The sequence below is a fragment of the Homo sapiens genome, chromosome 16 (assembly GCF_000001405.40).
Source record: "Homo sapiens chromosome 16, GRCh38.p14 Primary Assembly".
NCBI classification, from domain to species: Eukaryota; Metazoa; Chordata; class Mammalia; order Primates; family Hominidae; genus Homo; species Homo sapiens.
In genome coordinates this window covers 29,483,275-29,507,630 of record NC_000016.10, presented here as the reverse complement: position 1 = coordinate 29,507,630, position 24,356 = coordinate 29,483,275, and the positions used below count along the sequence as shown (strand labels likewise).

General features: G+C 46.8%; 1 protein-coding gene across 3 annotated transcripts; it reads left to right on the top strand.

Annotated features, from left to right (window-relative positions):
- The first annotated feature begins 1,222 nt into the window (after nt 1-1,222).
- On the top strand, nt 1,223-24,097 carry NPIPB12 (nuclear pore complex interacting protein family member B12). 3 transcript variants are annotated; one of them, NM_001395932.1, is made up of 9 exons: nt 1,223-1,847; nt 2,001-2,158; nt 7,357-7,488; nt 12,024-12,152; nt 15,757-15,856; nt 15,969-16,164; nt 20,232-20,292; nt 20,402-20,437; nt 21,798-24,097. In NM_001395932.1, exons 3-9 carry the CDS (start codon nt 7,426-7,428, stop codon nt 23,940-23,942), a joined length of 2,730 nt encoding a protein of 909 aa, NP_001382861.1. In that variant the 5' UTR covers nt 1,223-1,847; nt 2,001-2,158; nt 7,357-7,425; the 3' UTR covers nt 23,943-24,097. The 3 variants fall into 3 exon arrangements, with proteins under 3 accessions (NP_001382861.1, NP_001342330.1, NP_001382860.1); NM_001355401.2 differs by lacking the exon at nt 7,357-7,488 and having other exon boundaries at nt 1,223-1,837; NM_001395931.1 differs by lacking the exon at nt 7,357-7,488.
- The last annotated feature ends 259 nt before the right edge of the window (nt 24,098-24,356 follow it).

The following is a 24,356-nucleotide window of genomic DNA, read 5'->3' as shown; positions in this document are numbered from 1 at the left end:
TTTGGTCATATCTCCATTTGCCACCTGATTACACATGAGAATGGCATCTTTACTCACCAGAAAGCCAGTATTATAGGAGGTGTAGGAGGCATTCTTGGACTTGAGACAAGAACATTGTTGTGTAGAAATTTCATTGACTGTGTTAAAATTATTCTCCATGGGCTGGAGAACACATAACATGGCCTTTAGAATGAGACGGGCATTGATTGGATGCAAGGTCTCCACACTTACTAGCTGTGTGACATTGGACAGAGTGCTTCATCATTCCGAGACTCAGTTTTTAAAGGAAAAACAACTACCTTGCAAGCTTGCTGGCAGGTTTAAGTGTAATAATGTGTGGGAATGACTGCACCGTGACTAACATGCAGTGACAGCTTAATTAATGTTAACCCTTATCATTATCATATAAGAATGTGAGTTACATAAGAGAGGAATCCTGTCAGTTCGTTCTCTGCTGTGTCCCCAAGACCATGAATCATGGCTGGCATGTAGTAGGCATTTAATAATATATGTTCAACAAGTATTTGGCAGTCTTGGAGGGCAGAAAAGGAGGTGGGGAAGATTTTTAAATAACATTTTTTAAAAAGTCACATTGTCCTACAATACCGATTTTTCTTGCATATTTAGGAAATTGAGGATTTTTTTCTAAAACATGCGGACATATGGGAAATAGGATGCAACATTTGCACTAATGTTTCAGACACAGTTAGAGGTTTCCAAGAGATTTTGCGCTGGGGAGGCTGCTTGCTACAAGCTCCCAAAGCTCTGGGAGGACATAGTATTCATTCCTCCCTCAGCAGAAGCGGTGAGGCAAGAAGCTCTGGGGAGCACCCAGCCTTGGACTTTTAGCATAGTGTGTCAGGTCTTCATAGTTTGGGCCCAGGGCACAGAGAAGTCACAGCTCTCTGGCATCCTGTGACCTTTACCCTCTTTGCCAAGGGAAAATGTGGCCCACCAAAGCAAGAAACTTGAGGGCATGGGTCACCCCAGCCCTGGCATCTGCCCAGAGCCCGAGAAGGAAGGAACAATGATCCTCCAGCTACCTCACGGGGCTGGCACAGGTGACCACTGCCCTGGCATCACCCAGCTGTGTCCGGCAGCCTGAACCCCATCTGTGGGGATGCGAGGAGGAAAATACAAAAGTCCTTAGGTGAACACTGAGAAGGCAGATGTAGCAGAAACCTCCAGGCCAGAACTACCCAGTCTTGGACCTATGGTGGAGATAGAGCATAGCTGGCGATCGTGTACTTACACTCTAAGGTCACCTGGTTGCACTGTGGCCTCATCTGTGGCTCTGAAAATGAAGATTTGGAAGGAGATCATCACAGCTAATGTTAACAAGCCCCTCCTGTGTGCCAAATCATTCACCCCTCACCACAACCGAATGAGCTAAGGATTCTCATTATATATAGTTTATGGAGAGGGAAGTGCAGACATAAAGAGGTGAATTATCTTACCCAGATCACACAGCTGATAAGTGGTGGAGGCAGAATAGAATCTAAACAGTGTGGCTCCGGAGCCCACATGCATTGATTCGACAAGTGTTTATTGAGCACCTGCCACGGACAAGGCCTTGTGTGATTAAATAGGGTTATAATTAGTAATATAAAAATGAGAAATCACTAATGCTTTTTAGACTTAACATTTTCTTTTTTTGTAGGTTTCAGGCACAGAACTGTATATCCAATAATAGTGAAATGGATCCCACTAATTATGACAGAAATGATGATACATTTAAATGACTTGGATGTTTTATAGGTATGATCTCGTGAAACCTTGAGAGAAACTGAATGACGAATGAAACTATTGTTCCTGTTTCACACAGAAGAAAACTGAGGTTAAAAGGGGTAAAGTAATTTTGCATGGCATGAAGTAGAAATTCAAAGTACAGGAATTTGAACTTGGTTCTGTCCTTTTCTGAAGCCCTTGACCACTATAGACTCAAACATCACCTTGTTTTTCCACTCATTCAACACTTTTTTTTTAAAATTATCTAATAGGTTGGCACTCATCATGAGCCCCTGTTCTCATTCTGCAAATGGTGAAGCTCTCTATTGTCCTGACCCCACAGTTCCTGTCCCATGACCAGGGCCAGCTCACCAAGGAGCTGCAGCAGCATGTAAAGTCAGTGACATGCCCATGCGAGTACCTGAGGAAGGTGAGTGAGTGCAGACAGATGGGGCCTGGTGCCCTTGAGCAGTTCCCGGGTCTCAGCTGCCACACATCTCATAGCGGGTGATGCTGGGGGAAGCTTACGCAGTCACAGTACTGGCTTCTTCCTCTTTTTCTTTCCATACAAGTGGCTTAGGGATGGGGTAGAGTAGTTGACTTATTTGGATGAAAACCACTATCTTCTGTCAGAAACTCAAAAGGAATCATTGCTGGCATGGTAACCTAAAGAAAAACAACCAGACAAGTGCCCAACGACACTTAAAAAGGTTATTTATTATCTTGCCAAGTTTAGGCTGGGCATGGTGACTCATGCCTGTAATCCCAGCATTTTGGGAGGCTGAGGCTGGTGGATCACCTGAGGCCAGGACTTCGAGACCAGCCTGACCAATATGGCAAAACCTCGTCCCTACTAAAAATACAAAAATTAGCCGGGCATGGTGGTGTGAGCCTGTAGTCCCAGCTACTCAGGAGGCTGAGACAGGAGAATTGCTTAGATTCAGGAGGTGGGGGTTTTAGTGGGCCGAGATCACGCCATTGCACTCCAGACTGTGCGACAGAGCGAGACTCTGTCAAAAAAAAAAAAAAATTATCCTGCAAAATTTGAAAAGGAAATTCAAATCAACAGCTTCTAAACTACTTTTTAACATGACTCATAATAAGAAATACATTCTATAGTACATATATATGTTCTATAACTTTGAATAAAAGAGTTAACCACATCACATTTATTTTACAACATGTAATACATATTTTTTATTCTCCTTCATTTGTTTTGAATGCTCTGTTTAGTCTACAAAAAGTCCAATAGTAATAATTAAATTAGTCATTAAGTTGAACATTATCTTGTCTTTTAAAATGATAATCTCAAAAATGATCTTTTATTTTTGAGATTTATATAGATACACACACACACACACACACACACACACACACACACACACACATATATTTTTTGAGACAGAGTTTCACTCTGTCCCCCAGGCTGGAGTGCAATGGCACAATCTTGGCTCACTGCAACCTCCGTCTCCCGGGTTCAAGCAATTCCTCTGCCTCAGCCTCTGAGTAGCTGGGACTACAGGTGTGTGCCACCATGCCCAGCTAATTTTTGTATTCTTAGTAGAGATGGGGTTTCACCATATTGGCCAGGCTCGTGTCAACTCCTGACCTCGTGATCTGCCCACCGCGGCCTCCCAAAGTGCTGGGACTTTAGGTGTGAGCCGCTGCACCCGGTCCAAGTAAAATTATTTTAACAATATACTATGAAGAGAAAAACACTGGCTATGAAAGAATATGCATAGTTTTACCCTGTTTAAAAATAAAGATTGAAAGAATACATATGCAAATAAGTTTACTTTTATTTTTGGTAACACTTTACTGCATTGTCTGAATATTAACAATCAGTATGCATTATGAAGCTACCTGGCTAACATTGTGTACTCACTGTGTGTGCCAGGCCCTGGGTTCAATGCTCTACATGCACTTATATTTCATTTAATTCTCTCTGCAACCTGAGATGGTATAGCCACCTCATTTTACAGAGTTGAAACTGAGGCTCAGAGACTGAAAGTTAAGCCTGAGGTTGCAGTCAATAAGAGGCAGAGCTGGAACTGAAACCTACCTGTGTCTGACCACCAGTTCGTGTTCTGACGGCAGGCTAGTCTGCATCACAGAGTGTGGAGTAGATGGTGCATGCCTGCTAGGATGGGCTAGGTATCACTGTAGGTAAGAAACAGCCCCAAACTATGGAAATGTACACCACTGAAGGCTCTTTTCCTGCCCATGCTGCACATCCTCCATGGCTCTCCTGTGCCCTGTGCCCCACATGCCCTCATCCTGCCACGAGAATAAAGGAGCAGCCTCCATATGGGAGCTGTCAGCTGCTCTAAGAGATGAAGGAGAGAGTGGCCCGTCTCAATGGCTCCCAACTCTTTTGCCTCGAGGTGACACGCTTCACTTCCACTCACATCTCCTGGGTCAAAGCAAATCCCATGGGTACATCCACTTTCAAGTGGCCCAGGAGAGAACCTGAAATACTCGGTGGACTCCATTAAGGCCGTCATATGGTGTCAGCCTGCATGGGAGACTGTGGAGGGGCAGAGGAGGAGAGTGGGGAACTGATGGGAAATGACAGGAGGACTAAGTCACCGCAGATTTGCTTTATCTTCAGCCAGGTGGAGTTTGTCCCAGAGCCGCACAAAATCATCACCAGCATGATTAAACGGAGTAGACTTCAGAAAAAGCAGTTTGGTCGGATGTAATCAGCAGTGAACTCAGAATCAATTGAGTGACATTGAGTCAGTAAATCTCTGACTGCCTCAGTTACCCCATATGATAGTTTTGAGGATGGGAACATTGAGAGAGTTGATTTGGAAGGATATCAAGAGTAAAAATTCCAACATTTTTAGTTCCTTTAAGTTAAATCCAGGCACTGTCTTTCCTGCAAGTCTCCTGTTCCTTTCAGATTGCACAGGTGAGAGTGCTCAGATTAGGGCTGGAGGTTGTAAACCATTGCTCCCACACTGACAGTGCCCCCGTGTCGTGCATGTATTCTGCGCATTTTCCTGTGCTAAACACTCTCCCAAAACATCGTGGGGCCTGATTCTTCCTCTTTGTTCCAATGGCCCTGGGTGACTCAAGTGCCCATTCAATGACCAGGACACAGAGGTCTTAGAGAGATGCTCCTTGAGGCCCCAGGTGCGAGCCTGTACCCTGCCGGAGCATGAGGCAAGGGACAGGGCATCGTCTGTGGGGATAGTGGGGGTAGTGGGGGTAGTGGTCAGCCAGATTTGGTGACTCTACTTGCTCACCAGACGATCCTACACCTGCCACCTCCGATGGATCCACTGCCTCTGTGCCTGCCTGTACTGCTGATGCTCCAGTGGATAACTCAGCATCCCAGCCTAGGCCCAATGCCACTGAAGATGGACCTTCCCCCTGGGGACCCAGGAGTCCTACCACTCAGCTGTCCCCAGGAGTGCCCAGACCCTCATTCTTATCCAGGACCTAGGAGCCCTACCCCTGGCCTTCCCTCATCAGCCGTAAATGATGATTTACTGCTGTTACCATCATCACTGCCTTCAGTGACCAAGGGCCTTCCAAGGCGCCAGCTCTGGAACGAAGGATGCCCTTGGGAGGTGATGACACTCAGGTACACGGGTGCTCAACAGATTGCTTCCTCCTATCCTCAGACGGTCTTTGCATGCATGCAGCCATTGGCACTCCCATTGTGTGGAAGGAAACCAGCCCAGGGTCACACAGCTGGTCAGCAGCAACATAGCTGTTCTCAAATCTAAGGTGCCTGACCATGCCTCCATGAGGGACCGCCTCCAAGGGAGGTTGATCCTGGCTTTGGGGAGCCTTTCCTGGGCTGCACGAATAACCTCCATTGTTCGAGACCCCAAACTCTGCTCACATCTTCCTTTCCCTATCTCTGCTTGGGCTATGATCACGGTGACTCTAGCAGCCCTTCATGGACATTATAGTACTCTCTGCCATTCACTTTTGCTCTAATCTGACTTCAACCCCCACTTACTTGGTCTCTCCTTTTACAACCACCACAACCGAAATCTAGGGCTGCTTTTTTTTTTTTTTTTTTTTTGAGACAGAGTCTCATTCCATTCTGTCACCCAGGCTGGAGTGCAATGGTACAATCTCGGCTCACTGCAACCTCCGCCTCCCGGGTCCAAGGGATTGTCCTGCCTCAGCCTCCTGAGTAGCTGGGATTACAGGCGTGTGCCACCATGCCTGGCTAATTTTTGTATTTTTAGTAGAGATGGGGTTTCACCATGTTGGTCAGGCTGGTCTCCAACTCCTAACCTCGTGATCCGCCTGCCTCAGCCTCCCAAAGTGCTGGGATTACAGGCGTGAGCCACCATGCCCAGCCAAATCTAGGGCAGGAACATGGCTGCAGCATATAAAAAGAATTGAATTCCATACTTTTGTTAACCCTGTTTTTTGTTTGTTTGTAGTTGTTGCTGTTTTTGAGACAGAGTCTCGCTCTGTCGCCTAGGCTGGAGTGCAGTGGTGCAATCTCGGCTCACTGCAGACTCTGCCTCCCGGGTTCAAACTATTCTCCTGCCTCAGCCTCCCAAGTAGGTGGGACTACAGGCGCCCACCACCACACCCGGCTAATTTTTGTATTTTATTAGAGACAGGGTTTCACCATATTGGCCAGGCTGGTCTGGAACTCCTGACCTTGTGATCCGCCCACCTCGGCCTCCCAAAGTGCTGGGATTACAGGCGTGAGCCACCACACCCAGCCCGTTTTGTTTTTGTTTTGCTTGCTTCTTAGGGTTGTTTTTCTATTTATGGTAAAGGCATTGGCTTTCCATTTGTAGCATCAATAGAATATTTCCTGTTTACAATAACCTTATGTCATAGTAAATGGTAAAGGGATTTAAAGCAGTGGTTTTCAGCTGCCAGAGGCCTGAGAGAGTTTGGGCATACTCTGTGTGATCGGGCAGAAGGCCTGTGGGAAGTTTAGCAGAGGACAGGGCCAGGAAAGTTGATGGACAGTGGGGGTCTGTCCTGGTCACCAGGCCCCTGGGTCCTGCCCACCTGCTTGGAGCTCCCCACCCATCACACATGATGCTGCCAAGCCCTCTGGGTATTGTGGGCAAATACCTTAGGAGAGAAGCTGATGAACTTTGTTTCTTGAAATGCACAGATTCCTTGGACGTCCCTGAGAGCTCAGTCATGAAAGTCAACTTGGTTTTCTCCCCCTCATTTGGGTTCAGAATTTAAAGTCCACACACACAGGCAGTAAGATGATATAGATAAGGACGTCATCACTCGGTTTCGGATGTTAAAATGTCTAGGTGGGTTAGCGGTGATTTGAGATCACACAACCTTGTGCCACAAAGAGGAATTCCCAGGCCAGAGGGAGACATTTTATTGCCATGTTATGATCTCATCATTGAGTTGAAAGGCAATCTTGTTTCATTTTGGATTCTTTCTTATGTTTATGTCTTATAAGGGCACTTTGAATTTCCAAGCAAATAATAATTTTGAATTAGCTTTTAATCATTGACTTCTAGCACAGTTATATGATCAGAAACATGCTGTGTGATTTGATTGCTCTCAAATATATTGAGATTTGCTGGAACAAAATAAGTCAGGTTAATTTTTGTAAATGTACCAGGCATGCTTAAAATGAATGTATCTACATTTGTTCCTGAGATACAGGTTGATGGACGGATGGCTACATGGATGTGATGGAGATGGTTTACTATCGGGACCTTCCGCACCCTGCTGATGTTTTGTTGCTTAGGATATGAATGGCTGAGCGGAGGCTGTAAAACCTGGCACTCTGCTTGGGTATGAGGTTCTTCCTGCCATCCTGCCATCATTTGTTTTTTATGTTTTGTCGCCATAAGTGACCTTGAGGAACCCTGGGAGCTCAGGAAGGAAGGAGCGCCCAGAAGCAGGGACAGGGAGCTGGTTGGGGAGGACCAGAAATCAGGTTTGTGAAGGTTCCAGAGAGGACCTGTCTTTGGGAGGAGTGTGGGAGACTGAGATGGGGGAGGGGTCATTGGAATGATGCGGGCGCTACTTGGCATTGTCCATTGTGAGGCACTGTCCATTGTGAGGCACCACCGGGGTCATCAGGGATTGGTGGAGAGGGAGTATAAAGCCCCAGGGTTGGTAAGGGAGGGCCCAGACCGAAGAAGGTTTGGTGGATAGCAGAACCTTTTTGTCTCCCTCTGATTGCTCCTAAGCCTCACGCTCCCTTGCCCCGCGTGTCCTGTTGCTTCCCTGATCTTCTCCGTGACCTGTAGCTAAACCTTCCACCAGCGCTTGAGAACTTAATTTGAACCGGATCCTTTCCCAGACCCCTTTCTTCTTCTCCTCCTCCTCCTCCACCTCCTCCAGGTGCCCAACAGCCCCCTTCTCCTCCTTTCCCTTCCCTTACTTCCCCCCTTCCCCTCCCCTTCCCCTCCCCCTCCCCTCCCCCTCCCCAACTCAGATCCGGCCCCGGTCCCGTCCCCTTCCCTCCCCCCTGCCCTAAGCCACCTCCACCTCTGTCCTGGCCGCCTCAGGGCGCCCTGAAAGGACCAGGACATGCGGGTGCGGTGGATGCTCTTTTGGCTCCTCTTTGGGCTCCTACTGGAATTTATCAGCCATCAGTGCATCTCTGTGAGTAGACGCTGGACCCGTGGGGTTTCTTCCTTTTTACTGGGCTGTATCACGTGGCATGAAATTACACAGCTCAGGCCTGTAATCCCAGCACTTTAGAGGGCCGAGGTGGGCAGATCACTTGAGTCCAGGAGTTGAAGACTAGCCAGGGCATCATAGCGAAACCCCATCTCTACAAAAAATTCCAATAAAGATTAGTCGGGCCTGGTGGTGCGTACCTGTTATCCCAGTTACTGGAGAGGCTGAGGTGGGAGGATCGCTTGGGCCCAGGAGCTGGACGTTGCAGTGAGCCGAGATGGCCCCGCTGCACTCTTGTTTTTAACAAAGAAAATGGACCAAAACAAAGTGAAATGTCATTTGATTTGTGTCATCTGGTTTGATGACTTTTTTTTTTTTTTTTTTTTTTTTTAGACAGAGTCTCACTCTGTCGCCCAGGCTGGAGTGCAGTGGCAAGATCTCGGCTCACTGCAACCTCCGCTTCTGGGGTTCAAGCAATTGTCCTGCCTCAGCCTCCTGAGTAGCTCAGATTACAACGCCTGGCTAATTTTTGTATTTTTAGTAGACCACCACGCCTGGCTAATTTTTTTTTTTTTTTTTTTTTTTTTTTTTTTTTTTTTTTGAGACGGAGTCTCGCTCTGTCGCCCAGGCTGGAGTGCAGTGGCGGGACCTCGGCTCACTGCAAGCTCCGCCTCCCGGGTTCACGCCATTCTCCTGCCTCAGCCTCCCAAGTAGCTGGGACTACAGGCGCCCGCCACTACGCCCGGCTAATTTTTTGTATTTTTAGTAGAGACGGGGTTTCACCATGTTCGCCAGGATAGTCTCCATCTCTTGACCTCGTGATCTGCCTGCCTCAGCCTCCCAGTGCTGGGATTACAGGCGTGAGCCACCGCGCCTGGCCAAAATATATAACCTTAAGTGTAAGTTTACTAACTTTGGAAAGTACATACACCAGCATAAACCAACCCCCTTTCAAGATCTACATTATTTTATTTATTTATTTATTTATTTATTTATTTATTTATTTTGAGACAGTTTCTCCCTTGTTGCCCAGGCTGGAGTGCAATGGGGCAATATCAGCTCACCGCAACCTCTGCTTCCCAGGTTCGAGCGATTCTCCTGCCTCAGCCTCCCGAGTGGCTGGGATTACAGACATGTGGCACCACTCCCAGCTAATTTTGTATTTTTAGTAGAGATAGGGTTTCTCCATGTTGGTCAGGCTGGTTTTGAACTCCCGACCTCAGGTGATCCGCCCGCCTCGGCCTCCCAAAGCGTTGGGATTACAGGCGTGAACCACCGTGCCCAGCCAAGATCTACACTATTATGTCACCCCAGAAAGTGAACTCTCAGTCTTCCCAGCCAGTCTCTTTCTTATCATAGGTTAGCTTGCTTATTCTGGAATTTCGCGTATACAGATGCATGCCATGCCATAGGTACTCTTTTGTGTCTGCTTTGTTCTGCTCAACACCATGTTTCTGAAATCATTACCATTGTTGTATGGTTCTCTAACTTCATCATTTCCATTTCAGACTCAGCATATGCTGAGTTCAACCTGTTGAAGGGCTATCTCTGTTTAATTCACCATCTTGAAAGAAACATTTAAAATTGAGATGTTTTCAAGAATATATAGTTAAATCCTGAGGAATCGACGTAGAAATGTTATCAGAAGCTGTCTGAACTTACTCAGGGGAAGTCTTCGTCTTCACTCACATAAGAGTCTAATGGAATTAATATCAACAATCTTAGAGAAATCCCACACTATTCATGCCATTTTCATGATCTCCACCTTGGTAATTTTTTTTTTTTTTTTTTTGAGACAGAGTCTCGCTCTGTCACCCAGGCTGAAGTGCAGTGGTGCGATCTCGGCTCACTGCAACCTCTGCCTCCCGGGTTCAAGTGATTCTTCTGCCTCAGCCTCCCAAGTAGCTGGAACTATAGGCACGTGCCACCATGCCCTGCTAATTTTTTGTATTTTTAGTAGAGACGGGTTTCACCGTGTTAGCTAGGATGGTCTCAATCTCCTGATCTCGTGGTCCACCCACCTCGGCTTCCCAAAGTGCTGGGATTGCAGGCGTGAGCCACCACGCCCAGCCCACCTTGTTAATTTTTAAGCACTAAAATTTGATACTTATTTGTGAATGAAGTAATCTCTTCATTGTATTTTTTTTTTTTTTTTACTTATGCTGAGATTTAAATGACAAAGATTCATATAATCCAAGAGAGAAGTATTATTTAGAGGGATTCTTTTACCATGTGATATATAATAAATGCATCCAATGTTATACATCAATTTAAAAAACAAGTAAATAACTTTAAAGAAAAGATAACTACTGGCCAGGTGCAGTGGCTCACACCTGTATTCCCAGCACTTTGGGAGGCCAAGGCAGGTGGATCATGAGGTCAGGAGTTGGAGACCAGCCTGGCCAAGATGGTGAAACCCTGTTTCTACTAAAAATACAAAAATTAGCCGAGCGTGGTGGCAGGCGCCTGTAATCCCAGTTACTCAGTAGCTGAGGCAGGAGAATCGCTTGAACCCGGGAGGCGGAGGTTGCAGTGAGTTGAGATCATGCCACTGCAATCTAGCCTGGGTGACAGAGCAAAACTTTGTCTCAAAACAAAAAGAAAAGAAAAGATAAGATAATTACTTTATACTTAGCTTGTCTTACCCATGAGTGACGGGCTGCATGTGGCCCAGGACAGTTTTGAATGCAGTTCAACACAAATTTGTAAACTTTCTTAAAACATTAGGAGATTTTGGCCAGGTACAGTGGCTCATGCGTGTAATCCCAGCACTTTGGGAGGCTGAGGCGGGCAGATTACCTGAGGTCAGGAGTTCGAGACCACCCTGACCAACATGGCAAAACCCCATCTCCACAAAAACTACAAAAATTTGCTGAGTGCACTGTCAGGCACCTGTACTCCCAGCTACTCAGGAGGCTGAGGCAGGAGAATCACTTGAACCTGAGAGGCAGAGGTTGCAGTGAGCCGGGAGCACACCACTGCACTCCAGCCTGGGTGACAGAGTGAGACCCCATCTCAAAAATAACAAACAAAAACAAAAACAAAAAAATGGCTGGGCACGGTGGCTCACACCTGTAATCCCAGCACTTTGGGAGGCCGAGGCAGGCAGATCGCCTGTCAGGAGTTCAAGGCCAGACTGGCCAACATGGTGAAACCTCATCTCTACTAAAAATACAAAAATGAGTCGGGCATGGTGGCAGAGACCTGTAATCTCAGCTACTCGGGAGGCTGAGGCAGGAGAATGGCTTGAGCCCAGGAGCTGGAGGTTGCAGTGAGCCGAGATTGCACCACTGCACTCCAGCCTGGGCGACTGAGTGGAGCGGAACTCTGTCTCAAAAAAAAAAAAGAGGTTTTTTTTAGATCATCAGCTATTGTTAGTGTTAGTGTATGTTATGTGTGGCTCAAGACAACTTTGCTTCTTTTAATATAGGCAGGGAAGTCAAAAGATTGGATATCCCTGCTTTATACCAAGAAAGACAACACCCCACATTTGCAATGCCTGAAAACACTACCAGCCATCTGAAAAACATGTGACTTCTAACTTCTGTTCTTTTTTGTAGCAGTGGAATCCCACGGTGATATCTGAGGGATGTGGTTACCTTTTGGAGGAGGTTGACGGTTTCTAAGGATGATTCTTTCTGAGTGAAATATTGTCAGTGTCATTGACCTTTTCATTATTTCAACTATTATTATTCCAGGTTATCAATACTCTGGCTGACCATCATCATCGTGGGACTGACTTTGGTGGAAGTCCTTGGTTACATGTCATTATTGCGTTTCCGACAAGTTATAAAGTTGTCATTACCCTCTGGATAGTTTACCTTTGGGTGAGTATACTAACTTTCTGTAGAGGTATACTTGTAATCACAAATAAGAATAAATTATATAAAACAATTCACATTTCTGGACTTCATTATGAATATGTGGTTTTACCCAAAAAATCAGGGAAATGATTTATTAGTATAAGAATTATGAAAACATCTGCCATTTGCATTATGAAAATTAAATAGGTCGGTGTTTGTTTAATAGAATGTCAACAGAGCTTTTGGTCAAAAATAAGTTTTTTTAACCTTTGTGCTATTTATCACAAATGGAGTATGAGGTTTCGTCACTTAAATAGGAAATTCTTTCTAAACTCTTCTGCTTTGTAGTTCTATCGTATGGGTGGAAGGAAAGCTTCCAATCTCTTCTCTGAAGATTCACTGCAGAAATGAGCTGACAACAGACAGCTTAACAGGAAAAGAAAAACATAGAACAGGCATAAACATGGGAACCAGCTGAAAAATGAGACTGCTAGAAGGGCCGGATGGCTGATGCTTAAAGAGCACCCTCTTCTGAGGGGAGAGGGAGATAGATGGAGATGTAGGCCATTTAGAGGGGCAGCAAATGATTTTTAGGGGAAATGAAAGAGGCCAAGGAACAAACAATTGGCCTGAGACAAAGTTCCTGTGAGGTCATAGGGACGAGGTGACAAACTGCCGGAAGGTGAAGGGCAGAACTGCACTGCGTCTCATGATGCAGAGAAAGCCCCAGAGACTCTTAGAACTGCCCTCCAAGAGAATCAATGAAAAGTGTGTCTGGGCAGGGTAATTTTGAATGACATCATTCAAAGTGCATGTTCCGACTTGGAACTGGAGAGAGATCAGTATGTCAAAAGTCTGTACTTGGTAAGAATTTGGCTGCTAAGTTGTGCCATAATTTGTCTTTTGAGCCTTTTTTCCTTTGGGTAAGTTGAGCTCTACATTTTGTCTTGCCATTCATGACAGTAAAAATGTGGTTGTCTGGGGGCTGAACCTCCTTCTGAACAATGATCCAAGATAAAAGTACTAATACCACAATGCTTTTTTATATTCAAGGGAAGAGGAAGTATGTTTCAGTTTTACCACCTAGATAATTACACGTCATTTGGCACTGCCTTTCAAGATATGTAGAAAACAGAAAATATATGAGTTATGAAGATATCTAGGCACATTTAACATTCTCTATGCCACTTAGTCCTGAACAGAGAATTTTCGGTATAAATTGGAGGAAGCTTTTTTCTTTTTTTTTTTTCTTTTCTCACCCCGAAGACGAGTCTCCTTCTGTTGCCCAGGCTGGAGTATAATGGTGTGACCTCGGCTCACTGCAACCTCCACCTCCTGGCTTCAAGTGATTCCCCTGCCTCAGCCTCTCAAGTAGCTGGGATTACAGGTGCCCACCACCATGCCCAGCTAATTTTTGTATTTTTAGTAGAGTCGGGGTTTTACCATGTTGGCCAGGCTAGTCTCAAAACCCGACCTCAAATGATCCACCCGCCTCAGCCTCCCAAAGTGCTGGGATTACAAGCGTGAGCCACCACGTGAGCCAGGGGAAGTTTTTAAATTTACCACTTTTTAACAATTCCACTTAGGAAAGTTCAGTTGAGCTGTTGGACTTGGACAACTTCGCACCTCTCATCTTTGTCCTTGTCATCTAGTCATCTATACCATTACCTCCTAAGCAGGGACATCATGGGTGCCATGAAGCATTCATGCGTGATGGCATTTCTTGGCTTCTCATTTCTTCATGTGTTTGACATTTCCCCTAGCTCCAAACTGGGCCAGCTACCTTTCCTATGAAATCTAGCAGTAGCTGTGGGATTGACGTGGTTGCTCTTTTCATCTTTTTAGATTACCCATTGCTTCTCTCGAAATCCTAGTACATGATTTTTTTTTTATCCTATGTGCAGAAATCAGGAAAAAACAAATTCTACAAAGAATTTGAAAGATATTATTTCAGGCCAGGTGTGGTGGCTCATGCCTGTAATCCCAGCACTTTGGGAGGCTGAAGCAGATGGATCATTTGAGGTCAGGAGTTCAAGACCAGATGGGCCAACATGGTGAAACCCCATCTCTACTAAAAAGACAAAAATTAGCCAGGCATGGTAGCAGGCACCTGTAATCCCAGCTACTTGGGAGGCTGAGGCACAAGAATCGCTTGAATCTGGGAGGTGGAGGTTGCCGTGAGCCAAGGTAGCGCCACTGCACTTCAGCATGGTTGAGAGTGACACTCTGTCTCAAGAAAAAGTCATTTCAATGACCACCTCAGGAGATTCATAGGTATCTGACCCACATCTGAGATGGGATTTGCATTGCATTTTAGCTATGATGAGAAGAAATATTTAATATCTTAGAAGATTAAAAGCATACTGTGATAATATGGAAATCTTGGTGGGAATTCAGTCATTAGTGAGAATGTTTTGCGTTAAGTTCAAACCAGCCTCAATGAAGCTGATGTGAGGGAAGGGAAAGTGAACTCTGAGTAGAGCAGGGACAGAAGGAAGATGCTCCAGTGCAGATCAGGAAGGAGCAGGGGATGAAATGTTACAAATTCTAGAACTCAGAGAGCTGAAGGTAATTACTTCCTTTTCAAGTTGTGAAACATGTTAACCTGTGGTAAAATACTTATAAGATGATAATTACCATCTAACCGTGTTGAAGTGTACAGTTCAGTTGTGTGAAGTATATTCATGTCATTTTTTTTTTTTTTTTTTTTGAGACGGAGTCTCACTCTGTCACCAGGCTGGAGTGCAGTGGTGGGATCTTGGCTCACTGCAACCTCTGCCTCCTGGGTTCAAGCAGTTCTCCTGCCTCAGCCTCCCGAGTAGCTGGGACTACAGGCGTGCATCACCATGCTCAGCTAATTTTTGTATTTTTAGTAGAGACGGGGTTTCACCATGTTGCCCAGGATGGTCTCCATCTCTTGACCTTGTGATTCACCCGCCTCGGCCTCCCAAAGTGCTGGGATTACAGGCGTGAGCTACCGCATCTGGCCTTTTTTTTTTTTTTTTTTTTTGAGACAAGAGTTTCAATTTTGTTGCCCAGGTTGGAGTGCAATGGCACAATCTCAGCTCACCACAAGCTTTTCCTGCTGGGTTCAAGTGATTCTCCTGCCTCAGCCTCCCGACTAGCTGGGATTACAGGCATGCACCACCATGCCTGGCTAATTTTGTATTTTTAGCAGAGACAGCGTTTCTCCATGTTGGTGAGGCTGGTCTCAAACTCCCGACCTCAGGTGATCCGCCTGCCTCGGCCTCCCAAAGTGCTGGGATTACAGGAGTGAGCCACCGTGCCAGCCTCATGTCATTCTTGTGTGTGTGTGTGTGTATGTGACAGAGTCTCATTCTGTCGCTCAGGCTGGAGTGCAGTGGTGTGATCTCGGCTCAGTGCAACCTCCGCCTCCCAGCTTCAAACGGTTCTCTGCCTCAGCCTCCCGAGTAGCTTGGATTACAGGCGCCCGCTGCCATGCCCGGCTAATTTTTGTATTTTTAGTAGAGACGGGGTTTCACCATCTTGGCCAGGCTGGTCTTGAACTCCTGACCCCGTGATCCACCTGCCTCGGCCTCCCGAAGTACTGGGATTATACGCATGAGCCACCGTGCCCAGCCGTCATTCTTATATTATTATTTCCTAGGTGTCTCTCCTGAAGACTATCTTCTGGTCTCGAAATGGACATGATGGATCCACGGATGTACAGCAGAGAGCCTGGAGGTCCAACCGCCGTAGACAGGAAGGTATGGCTCTGTTGGAATCCGCATAGTGTGGAAATGAGTTTGCCCTGGAAAGGGAAAGAACAGCTTCTTGCCCTCAGGTTTCTCACCTTCTCCTCTCCTCACTCTCACCAAGGGCTGAGGTCCATTTGTATGCACACAAAGAAAAGAGTTTCTTCCTTTCGAGGAAATAAAATTGGCCTGAAAGACGTCATTACTCTACGGAGACATGTGGAAACAAAAGTTAGAGCTAAAATCCGTAAGAGGAAGGTGACAACGAAAATCAACCATCATGACAAAATCAATGGAAAGAGGAAGACCGCCAGAAAACAGTAAGATGTGCCTTGACACAAATACTGTTGTATGAACCATGTGCCAATCAAAGTAGACAACTGTAAAGTCCTTGAGAATATTTTCTACAATATTTGTGGCAAATTCAGTGGGTTCAAAATTGAGTTTGTCCTTTCTGCTTCATTAGTTTAAGCTGTATAATTCCTTTCCCTTCCTACATTCTTGTTTTCATTTTTTCGGAGGAAGAGGAGTTGCTAGTACTGGCATTGGTTTTCCTTTCTCTTTTTTTTTTTTTTTTTTTTCCTGAGATGGAGCTTTGCTGTTGTTGCCCAGGCTGTAGTGCAATGGCACAATCTCAGCTCACTGCCTTTTGGGTTCAAGCAATTCTCCTGCGTCAGCCTCCCAAGTAGCTGGGATTACAGGTGCCCACCACCACGCCCAGCTAATTTTTGTATTTTTACTAGAGATGGGGTTTCACCATGTTGTCCAGGCTGGTCTCGAACTTCTGACCTCAGGTAATCCACCTGCCTCAGCCTCCCAAAGTGCTGGTATTAGAGGCGTGAGCCACCACAGCCAGCCTTTTTTTTTTTTTTTTTTTTTTTTAATTTTGAGATAGAGTCTCGCTCTGTCGCCCAGGCTGGAGTGCTATGGTGCAATCTTGGCTCACTGCAACCTCTGCCTCCCAGTTTGAAGCAATTCTGCCTCAGCTTCCCGAGTAGCTTGGATTACAGGTGTGTGCCACCACATTTGACCAATTTTTTTTTTTTTTTTTTTTTTTGAGACAGAGTCTCACTCTGTCACCCAGGCTAGAGTGCAGTGGCATGATCTTGGCTCACTGCAACCTCCACCTCCCAGGTTCAAGCGATTCTTATCCCTCAGCCTCTTGAGTAGCTGGGACTACAGGCATATGCCACCATGCCCGGATAATTTTTGTATTTTTAGTAGAGGCGGGGTTTCACCATATTGGCCAAGCTGGTCTAGAACTCCTGACATGATCCGCACACCTCGGCCTCCCAATGTGCTGGGATTACAGGCGTGAGCCACCGTGCCCGGCCCAATTTTTGTATTTTTAGTAGAGACGGGTTCACCATGTTGGCCAGGCTAGTCTTGAACTCCTGACCTCAGGTGATCTGCCTACCTCAGCCTCCCAGTGTGAGCCACCGCACCCAGCCTGGATTGTTGAATTCAATGCTTGGGTCACCTCCAGATTCATTTTCACAGTCTTTCATGTTTTGGTCATATGACATTGTATTTTGCTGCCATATGACTGATCTTTTTTTGTTAAATGTGAGATACTTGTTAAAAAATGTTTAGCAATGAATTGAGGCCTAGTAGCATGTTATCTTGCTGCAGAAGAGATGGGAGTCTACTTCTGGGGGATGGTCAGGGGTCCTCCATACAGGCTGCAATTGAAGTCGTCGGTGCAGGCTCAGTCCCTACAAAGGCCAGGGTATTTCCTGTCCACCTTTATTCTGATGCATGACTCTTCTGGGTCTCAACCAGAGCCAGTGGACTTCAGTACGGGTCGCTTTCATTGGCAGACCCTCAATCCACTTGTTTTCCATCTAATCCCACGCATGTGTGCAAAAGCTGCTGTGCTTCTTTGCATCTCAGTAGTTCCTTCTGGAATTCAGCAATGAAACTCAGGGAAATGGGTTCCAAATGCGAGGCTGACTTTCGTCCTGGGTTTCCTTCTTCTCCATCTTCACCTCATGTCTGTTTACTGCCATGTTAGCAATTTGATGTATTCAATCATGGGTTTTATATTCTGTTTGGTGTCCCCCATTGTTCTCATCGGAGATCAGAAGCTTCAGATGCACTTATGTCAACTCAAGAGTAGAATGCTTCCTTAGCTTCCCTCCAGAGTCAGGTTTTGTGTTTCTAGTTCCCAAGTGCACAGCAGGAGTAGTGATGTCCTCACTGGCTTCTCATTTGCATTAAGCTGTGAGCTTCTTTAGCGTGGGGACAGGACCCTGCTCCCATTGCATTCTCAGCACCACACCACACACTCCTTGTTTGAGGCCACTCCAGACAGCATGTGCTGAAGGATGCCTTGTGGTCAGAAACAAGTTCATTAACTTTCTCTTTGAAGTGTTTTCGCCCCTGTTTCCTAGCGTTCTGGGAATTTTACACATCCTTCCTATAAAACCAAGTATCAGGTGAGATCCTTAGGATCAGGACCATGAATCAAGTGGAGTGAGGGCAACACAGCAAACTTACCCTTTTTAGGCCGTTTCCTTTTTCTGCCCTCAATCTCTGTGAACTGAACCTTGTTAAAGTCAGTCAACACCAGGGTGGATGGTTTGCCGTTGTCACCTATTTTCAGGACATAACACCCTGACTTAGGAGCCATTCCGATCATTTCTAATTCAATAGATGCGCCCAGCATTCAGATTGCCTTTTCTCTCAACCAGGATCTTTAAAGTCGATGACAAGAGTTCCAGTCCTGAATCATGGCAAAGTGCAGTAGTGAACTGCGGGGTTATTCTGGAAGGATCTCTCTATGGCTGATGGTCTCAGTTCCGGCATCAGCCTCTGACTGAGAATCAGGTCTCACACAGGAGGAGTCAGATGAGGAGCAATCCTCTGCTTCCGATGGAGTTAGTTGTGATGAATTGGTGAGGTCTGGTTTTTCACACTGAACTAAAATGAGCTTTCGCTGTGTCAAGCACAAGACTGACCCCAGAGACACACATAGTGCACCTCATAGAAGCTTTTAATAGTCTTTATATTTACTAAAGAATAGGACTAACTATGGAACTATGAAGATGAGCTGGAAATGACAGGTGACTTGCCAGCAGGCCAGAGTGTGACTTTTTTTTGTCCCTCAATGGGAGGTGTCAATTCTCCCTTCGGTTGTGAGAATCAGTTGGTTCATTTGTGGGAAGGTTGCAGGGGGGATCTTTGAATCACAGCCTTCAGATGCCAGAAGGGCAGAGGGAATCCCACACGGGCTGGTGGATCATGTGTGTGCATTTCTCTCCCTTCTAATCTGAGGAAACTAAGCGTGAAAGAATGTGAGCATGCAGAAAAGGAGAGGCAGGTATCAGAGGCAGAGGAAAATGGGAAATTGGATATGAAAGAAATACACACCTACAAGTGAGTTCAGAAACTGAACCCCACCCTCCTGGGAAACGCCCATTGGAGTGTTGTTTTTAACCTTTGTACAGTATTTAGACCCAGTAAATGCAGAAATAGAAACAAACGGTCAGAAGACATATCGTGAGAGAGAGCGAGAGAGAGTTCACAAAACAGAAAACAAAGTACCTTAATATTTACCAGTGACCAAAAGATGTGAAGTAGCAAAACGTCTCCTGACCCCATTGCCAGCTAGACTGTGTGGAAACTCGGTTCATACCAGCCATTCTAGGGGTGGGGTGAGTTGTTGTCATCCTTAGGAAAGTGTGTTGTTGTAGGATCAACCACATCCTTCAAAAGGACTATGCCTGTTTATAAGCCCAGCTGTTTCTGCCCTGTGAAACACGGTAAGGATATTAATACAAAGAGAATACAGCTTTATGATAAAAGATGCTCAATGAAGGATGAATTAGGGATGTACTGAGAATGGGGAAGGAAACTATCATCTCAGAAGTCAGCAGGCAGTAAGCAAGAGGAGGAATCAATACAGCAACAGTTTGGATCAGACTGTACAGTTTTTTTGTTTTTGTTTTTCTGAGATGGAGTCTCGCTGTGTCACCCAGGCTGGAGTGCAATGACGTGATCTTGGCTCACTGCAACCTCCGCCTCCCAGGTTCAAGTGATTCCCCTGCCTCAGCCTCCCGAGTAGCTGGGATTACAGGTGCCTGCCACCACGCCTGGCTAATTTTTTGTATTTTTAGTAGAGAAGGGGTTTCACCATATTAGCCACAATGGTCTCAATCTCCTGACCTCGTGATCCATCTGCCCCGCCCTCCCAGAGTGCTGGGATTACAGGCGTCAGCCACCGTGACCGGCTCAGACTGTACTCTTATAGCCATCTGAAATACGTTTTCTAGGTAGAGATAGATTGTGTAAGGGTACAGTTGTGAGGATAACAGAAACATGGCAGATTATTTAAAATCATCCTGAAAGTGGTGCTTTATCTGATGAAAGTGATTGTAATCCATAGGAAAATGTTTCAACGTGCGCAAGAGTTGCGGCGGCGGGCAGAGGACTACCACAAATGCAAAGTAAGGAGCTTCCTCCCTGCAGTTGCAGGATAGTTCAGTGCTGATGCAGATGATGCCACGGCCCTTAGACTCTCTCAACATTCAATTTCTCATGTGTTGGCTTTTTCAGATCCCCCCTTCTGCAAGAAAGGCTCTTTGCAACTGGGTAAGTTTGCTTGTTTTCCTTGCTTTTGGACATAGTCTGCCAGGTCAGGACATGGATACATTTTTCTCCCTACAGCTCTGTGCTCAAGCCCTGCAGAGGGAGATGGCAGAGAGAAAGGCTGCCTACAAGCATCACAGTCCCATCCCTGTTGGTAACCGTGTTGTGCAAAAACACCTTCATCCCCACCCAGTGGGGCCCCTGATCTAATATTCTAAGTGTCAGAGGTTCCGTATTTGTAATAGCAGATGGGCCCTGACTGTAAACTAGTGAAGAGTGAATGTAACTTATTACCCACAGGGACAATTCCAAATGAAGGCCTTAAATGATGCTCAGCTAAGCTGGTTCTTGTGTGGCCTCTGTACCTTCAAAAGCTGCCGAGTCCTATGATTACACGTGATGGGACTTGTACACTTGAAGTGAAACACAGTTTTAAAACTTGCTTTGTTTAGAATTCCCACCTCATTTTTCCATGGACAAAAGTATTCTTTATGTCCTAGTGCACTTACAATTTGGTATTACCTGGGAGTGAAAAGAAATATTACAGCCATGCCTAAGTGACTTCTTGAGGTGAGATTGTTCTGTCAGAAAACCCTCTCCCAGTTCCCCTGCAGCTCTTCAGGAATCCACATCTCTCCAGAGCTCTTTGTTCTCATGGGTGGCACCTCCAGAGTGAAGAAGATCCTTTGTCAAGAAGGGAAACAGAGGGGAAATGAGAGGGTCCTGCAGGCAGAGCTGGAATCAACTTCCACTCTGCCTCTTGCAAGCTGTGTGACCCTGGGCACAATTTCTCCTTCCTCTGGAAACCTCTGTTTTCTTAGATTTGGAGCAGGGTGGTCACACTGACCTTGCAGAGTTCTGAGAGTCAGAGACAGAACATAAAAGGCCTGGAAAACATTCTCCAAAAAGAAGCTGCAACATGTGTGGACAGTGGGCTTTTCATGCCTCTCTTACTGTCTCTTACTGTCTGTTGACCTGGTGCAAGAAACATGCTCTGGTGATGGCTGTGAGGGAGGAATGAGGATAGACATAGACACTCCTGTGTCTCAAACATGCTTCTTTATTACTCTGTTATGACTCTGTCTTCCCTGGGGCAGGACCCCAGCCTGCCTACATTTGCAGACAGACACAGTGGCATGTGGAGACAACAGTGTGTCCCAATGACTTTCCTTTACCCTCCAGCTGTCGGCAGTACTCAGTGGAAGGGTGATATTATGACACTGATACTGCTATTTTGAAACCTGGAGGATGGAAAGGTGCAAAAATCTATCACCAGCAACAGAAGGTGCAGACTGTGTTGGTGGCGGTAATTTTGTCCATCAAATGAATATGTGTGAAAACATTCCCTCCTTTGGCCCTACAGGTCAGAATGGCGGCAGCGGAGCATCGTCATTCTTCAGGATTGCCCTACTGGCCCTACCTCACAGCTGAAACTTTAAAAAACAGGATGGGCCACCAGCCACCTCCTCCAACTCAACAACATTCTATAACTGATAACTCCCTGAGCCTCAAGACACCTCCCGAGTGTGTGCTCACTCCCCTTCCACCCTCAGCGGATGATAATCTCAAGACACCTCCCGAGTGTGTGCTCACTCCCCTTCCACCCTCAGCGGATGATAATCTCAAGACACCTCCTGAGTGTCTGCTCACTCCCCTTCCACCCTCAGCGGATGATAATCTCAAGACACCTCCCGAGTGTCTGCTCACTCCCCTTCCACCCTCAGCGGATGATAATCTCAAGACACCTCCCGAGTGTCTGCTCACTCCCCTTCCACCCTCAGCTCCACCCTCAGCTCCACCCTCAGCGGATGATAATCTCAAGACACGTGCCGAGTGTCTGCTCCATCCCCTTCCACCCTCAGCGGATGATAATCTCAAGACACCTTCCGAGCGTCAGCTCACTCCCCTTCCACCCTCAGCTCCACCCTCAGCAGATGATAATATCAAGACACCTGCCGAGCGTCTGCGGGGGCCGCTTCCACCCTCAGCGGATGATAATCTCAAGACACCTTCCGAGCGTCAGCTCACTCCCCTTCCACCCTCAGCTCCACCCTCAGCAGATGATAATATCAAGACACCTGCCTTCCACCCTCAGCGGATGATAATCTCAAGACACCTTCCGAGCGTCAGCTCACTCCCCTTCCACCCTCAGCTCCACTCTCAGCAGATGATAATATCAAGATACCTGCTGAGCGTCTGCGGATTCCGCTTCCACCATCAGCCGATGATAATCTCAAGACACCTTCCGAGCGTCAGCTCACTCCCCTTCCACCCTCAGCTCCACCCTCAGCAGATGATAATATCAAGACACCTGCCGAGCGTCTGCGGGGGCCGCTTCCACCCTCAGCGGATGATAATCTCAAGACACCTTCCGAGCGTCAGCTCACTCCCCTTCCACCCTCAGCTCCACCCTCAGCAGATGATAATATCAAGACACCTGCCGAGCGTCTGCGGGGGCCGCTTCCACCCTCAGCGGATGATAATCTCAAGACACCTTCCGAGCGTCAGCTCACTCCCCTTCCACCCTCAGCTCCACCCTCAGCAGATGATAATATCAAGACACCTGCCGAGCGTCTGCGGGGGCCGCTTCCACCCTCAGCGGATGATAATCTCAAGACACCTTCCGAGCGTCAGCTCACTCCCCTTCCACCCTCAGCTCCACCCTCAGCAGATGATAATATCAAGACACCTGCCGAGCGTCTGCGGGGAGCGTCTGCGGGGGCCGCTTCCACCCTCAGCGGATGATAATCTCAAGACACCTTCCGAGCGTCAGCTCACTCCCCTTCCACCCTCAGCTCCACCCTCAGCAGATGATAATATCAAGACACCTGCCGAGCGTCTGCGGGGGCCGCTTCCACCCTCAGCGGATGATAATCTCAAGACACCTTCCGAGCGTCAGCTCACTCCCCTTCCACCCTCAGCTCCACCCTCAGCAGATGATAATATCAAGACACCTGCCGAGCGTCTGCGGGGGCCGCTTCCACCCTCAGCGGATGATAATCTCAAGACACCTTCTGAGCGTCAGCTCACTCCCCTTCCACCCTCAGCTCCACCCTCAGCAGATGATAATATCAAGACACCTGCCGAGCGTCTGCGGGGGCCGCTTCCACCCTCAGCCGATGATAATCTCAAGACACCTCCCTTAGCTACTCAGGAGGCTGAGGCAGAAAAACCACGCAAACCCAAGAGGCAGAGGGCGGCTGAGATGGAACCACCTCCCGAACCCAAGAGGCGGAGGGTCGGTGACGTGGAACCGTCACGCAAACCCAAGAGGCGGAGGGCCGCTGACGTGGAACCATCATCACCCGAACCCAAGAGGCGGAGGGTCGGTGATGTGGAACCGTCACGCAAACCCAAGAGGCGGAGGGCCGCTGACGTGGAACCATCATCACCCGAACCCAAGAGGCGGAGGGTCGGTGACGTGGAACCGTCACGCAAACCCAAGAGGCGGAGGGCCGCTGACGTGGAACCATCATTACCCGAACCCAAGAGGCGGAGGTTGAGCTGAGAAGAGGCCAGTGCACTCAAGCCTGAGCAATAAGAATAAAACCGAGTAGAACAAAATAAAAAATTCAAAAAACAAAACAAAACCCACACTCCAAAAACTAACAAAGAATAAATAAATAATATAAAAATAAAATAAATACTGCAGTCCTTATGTTATTGCTTTGTTTCGATATCTGGTATGATTGCCTGAGGGACCTGAGGTTTTTAATCATAGGGGTTTTTTTTTAATCTTTAGAAGTGGTTGGTTATGTAAAATATTATTATTATTTTTTTTGAGACTGGATTTTGCTGTGTCACCCAGGCTGGAGTGCAGTGGCTCGATCACAGCTCACTGCAGCCTCAACCTCCTGGGCTTCAAGCAATCCTCCTGCCTCAGCCTCCCAAGTAGCTGGGATCACAGATGTGTGCCACCACG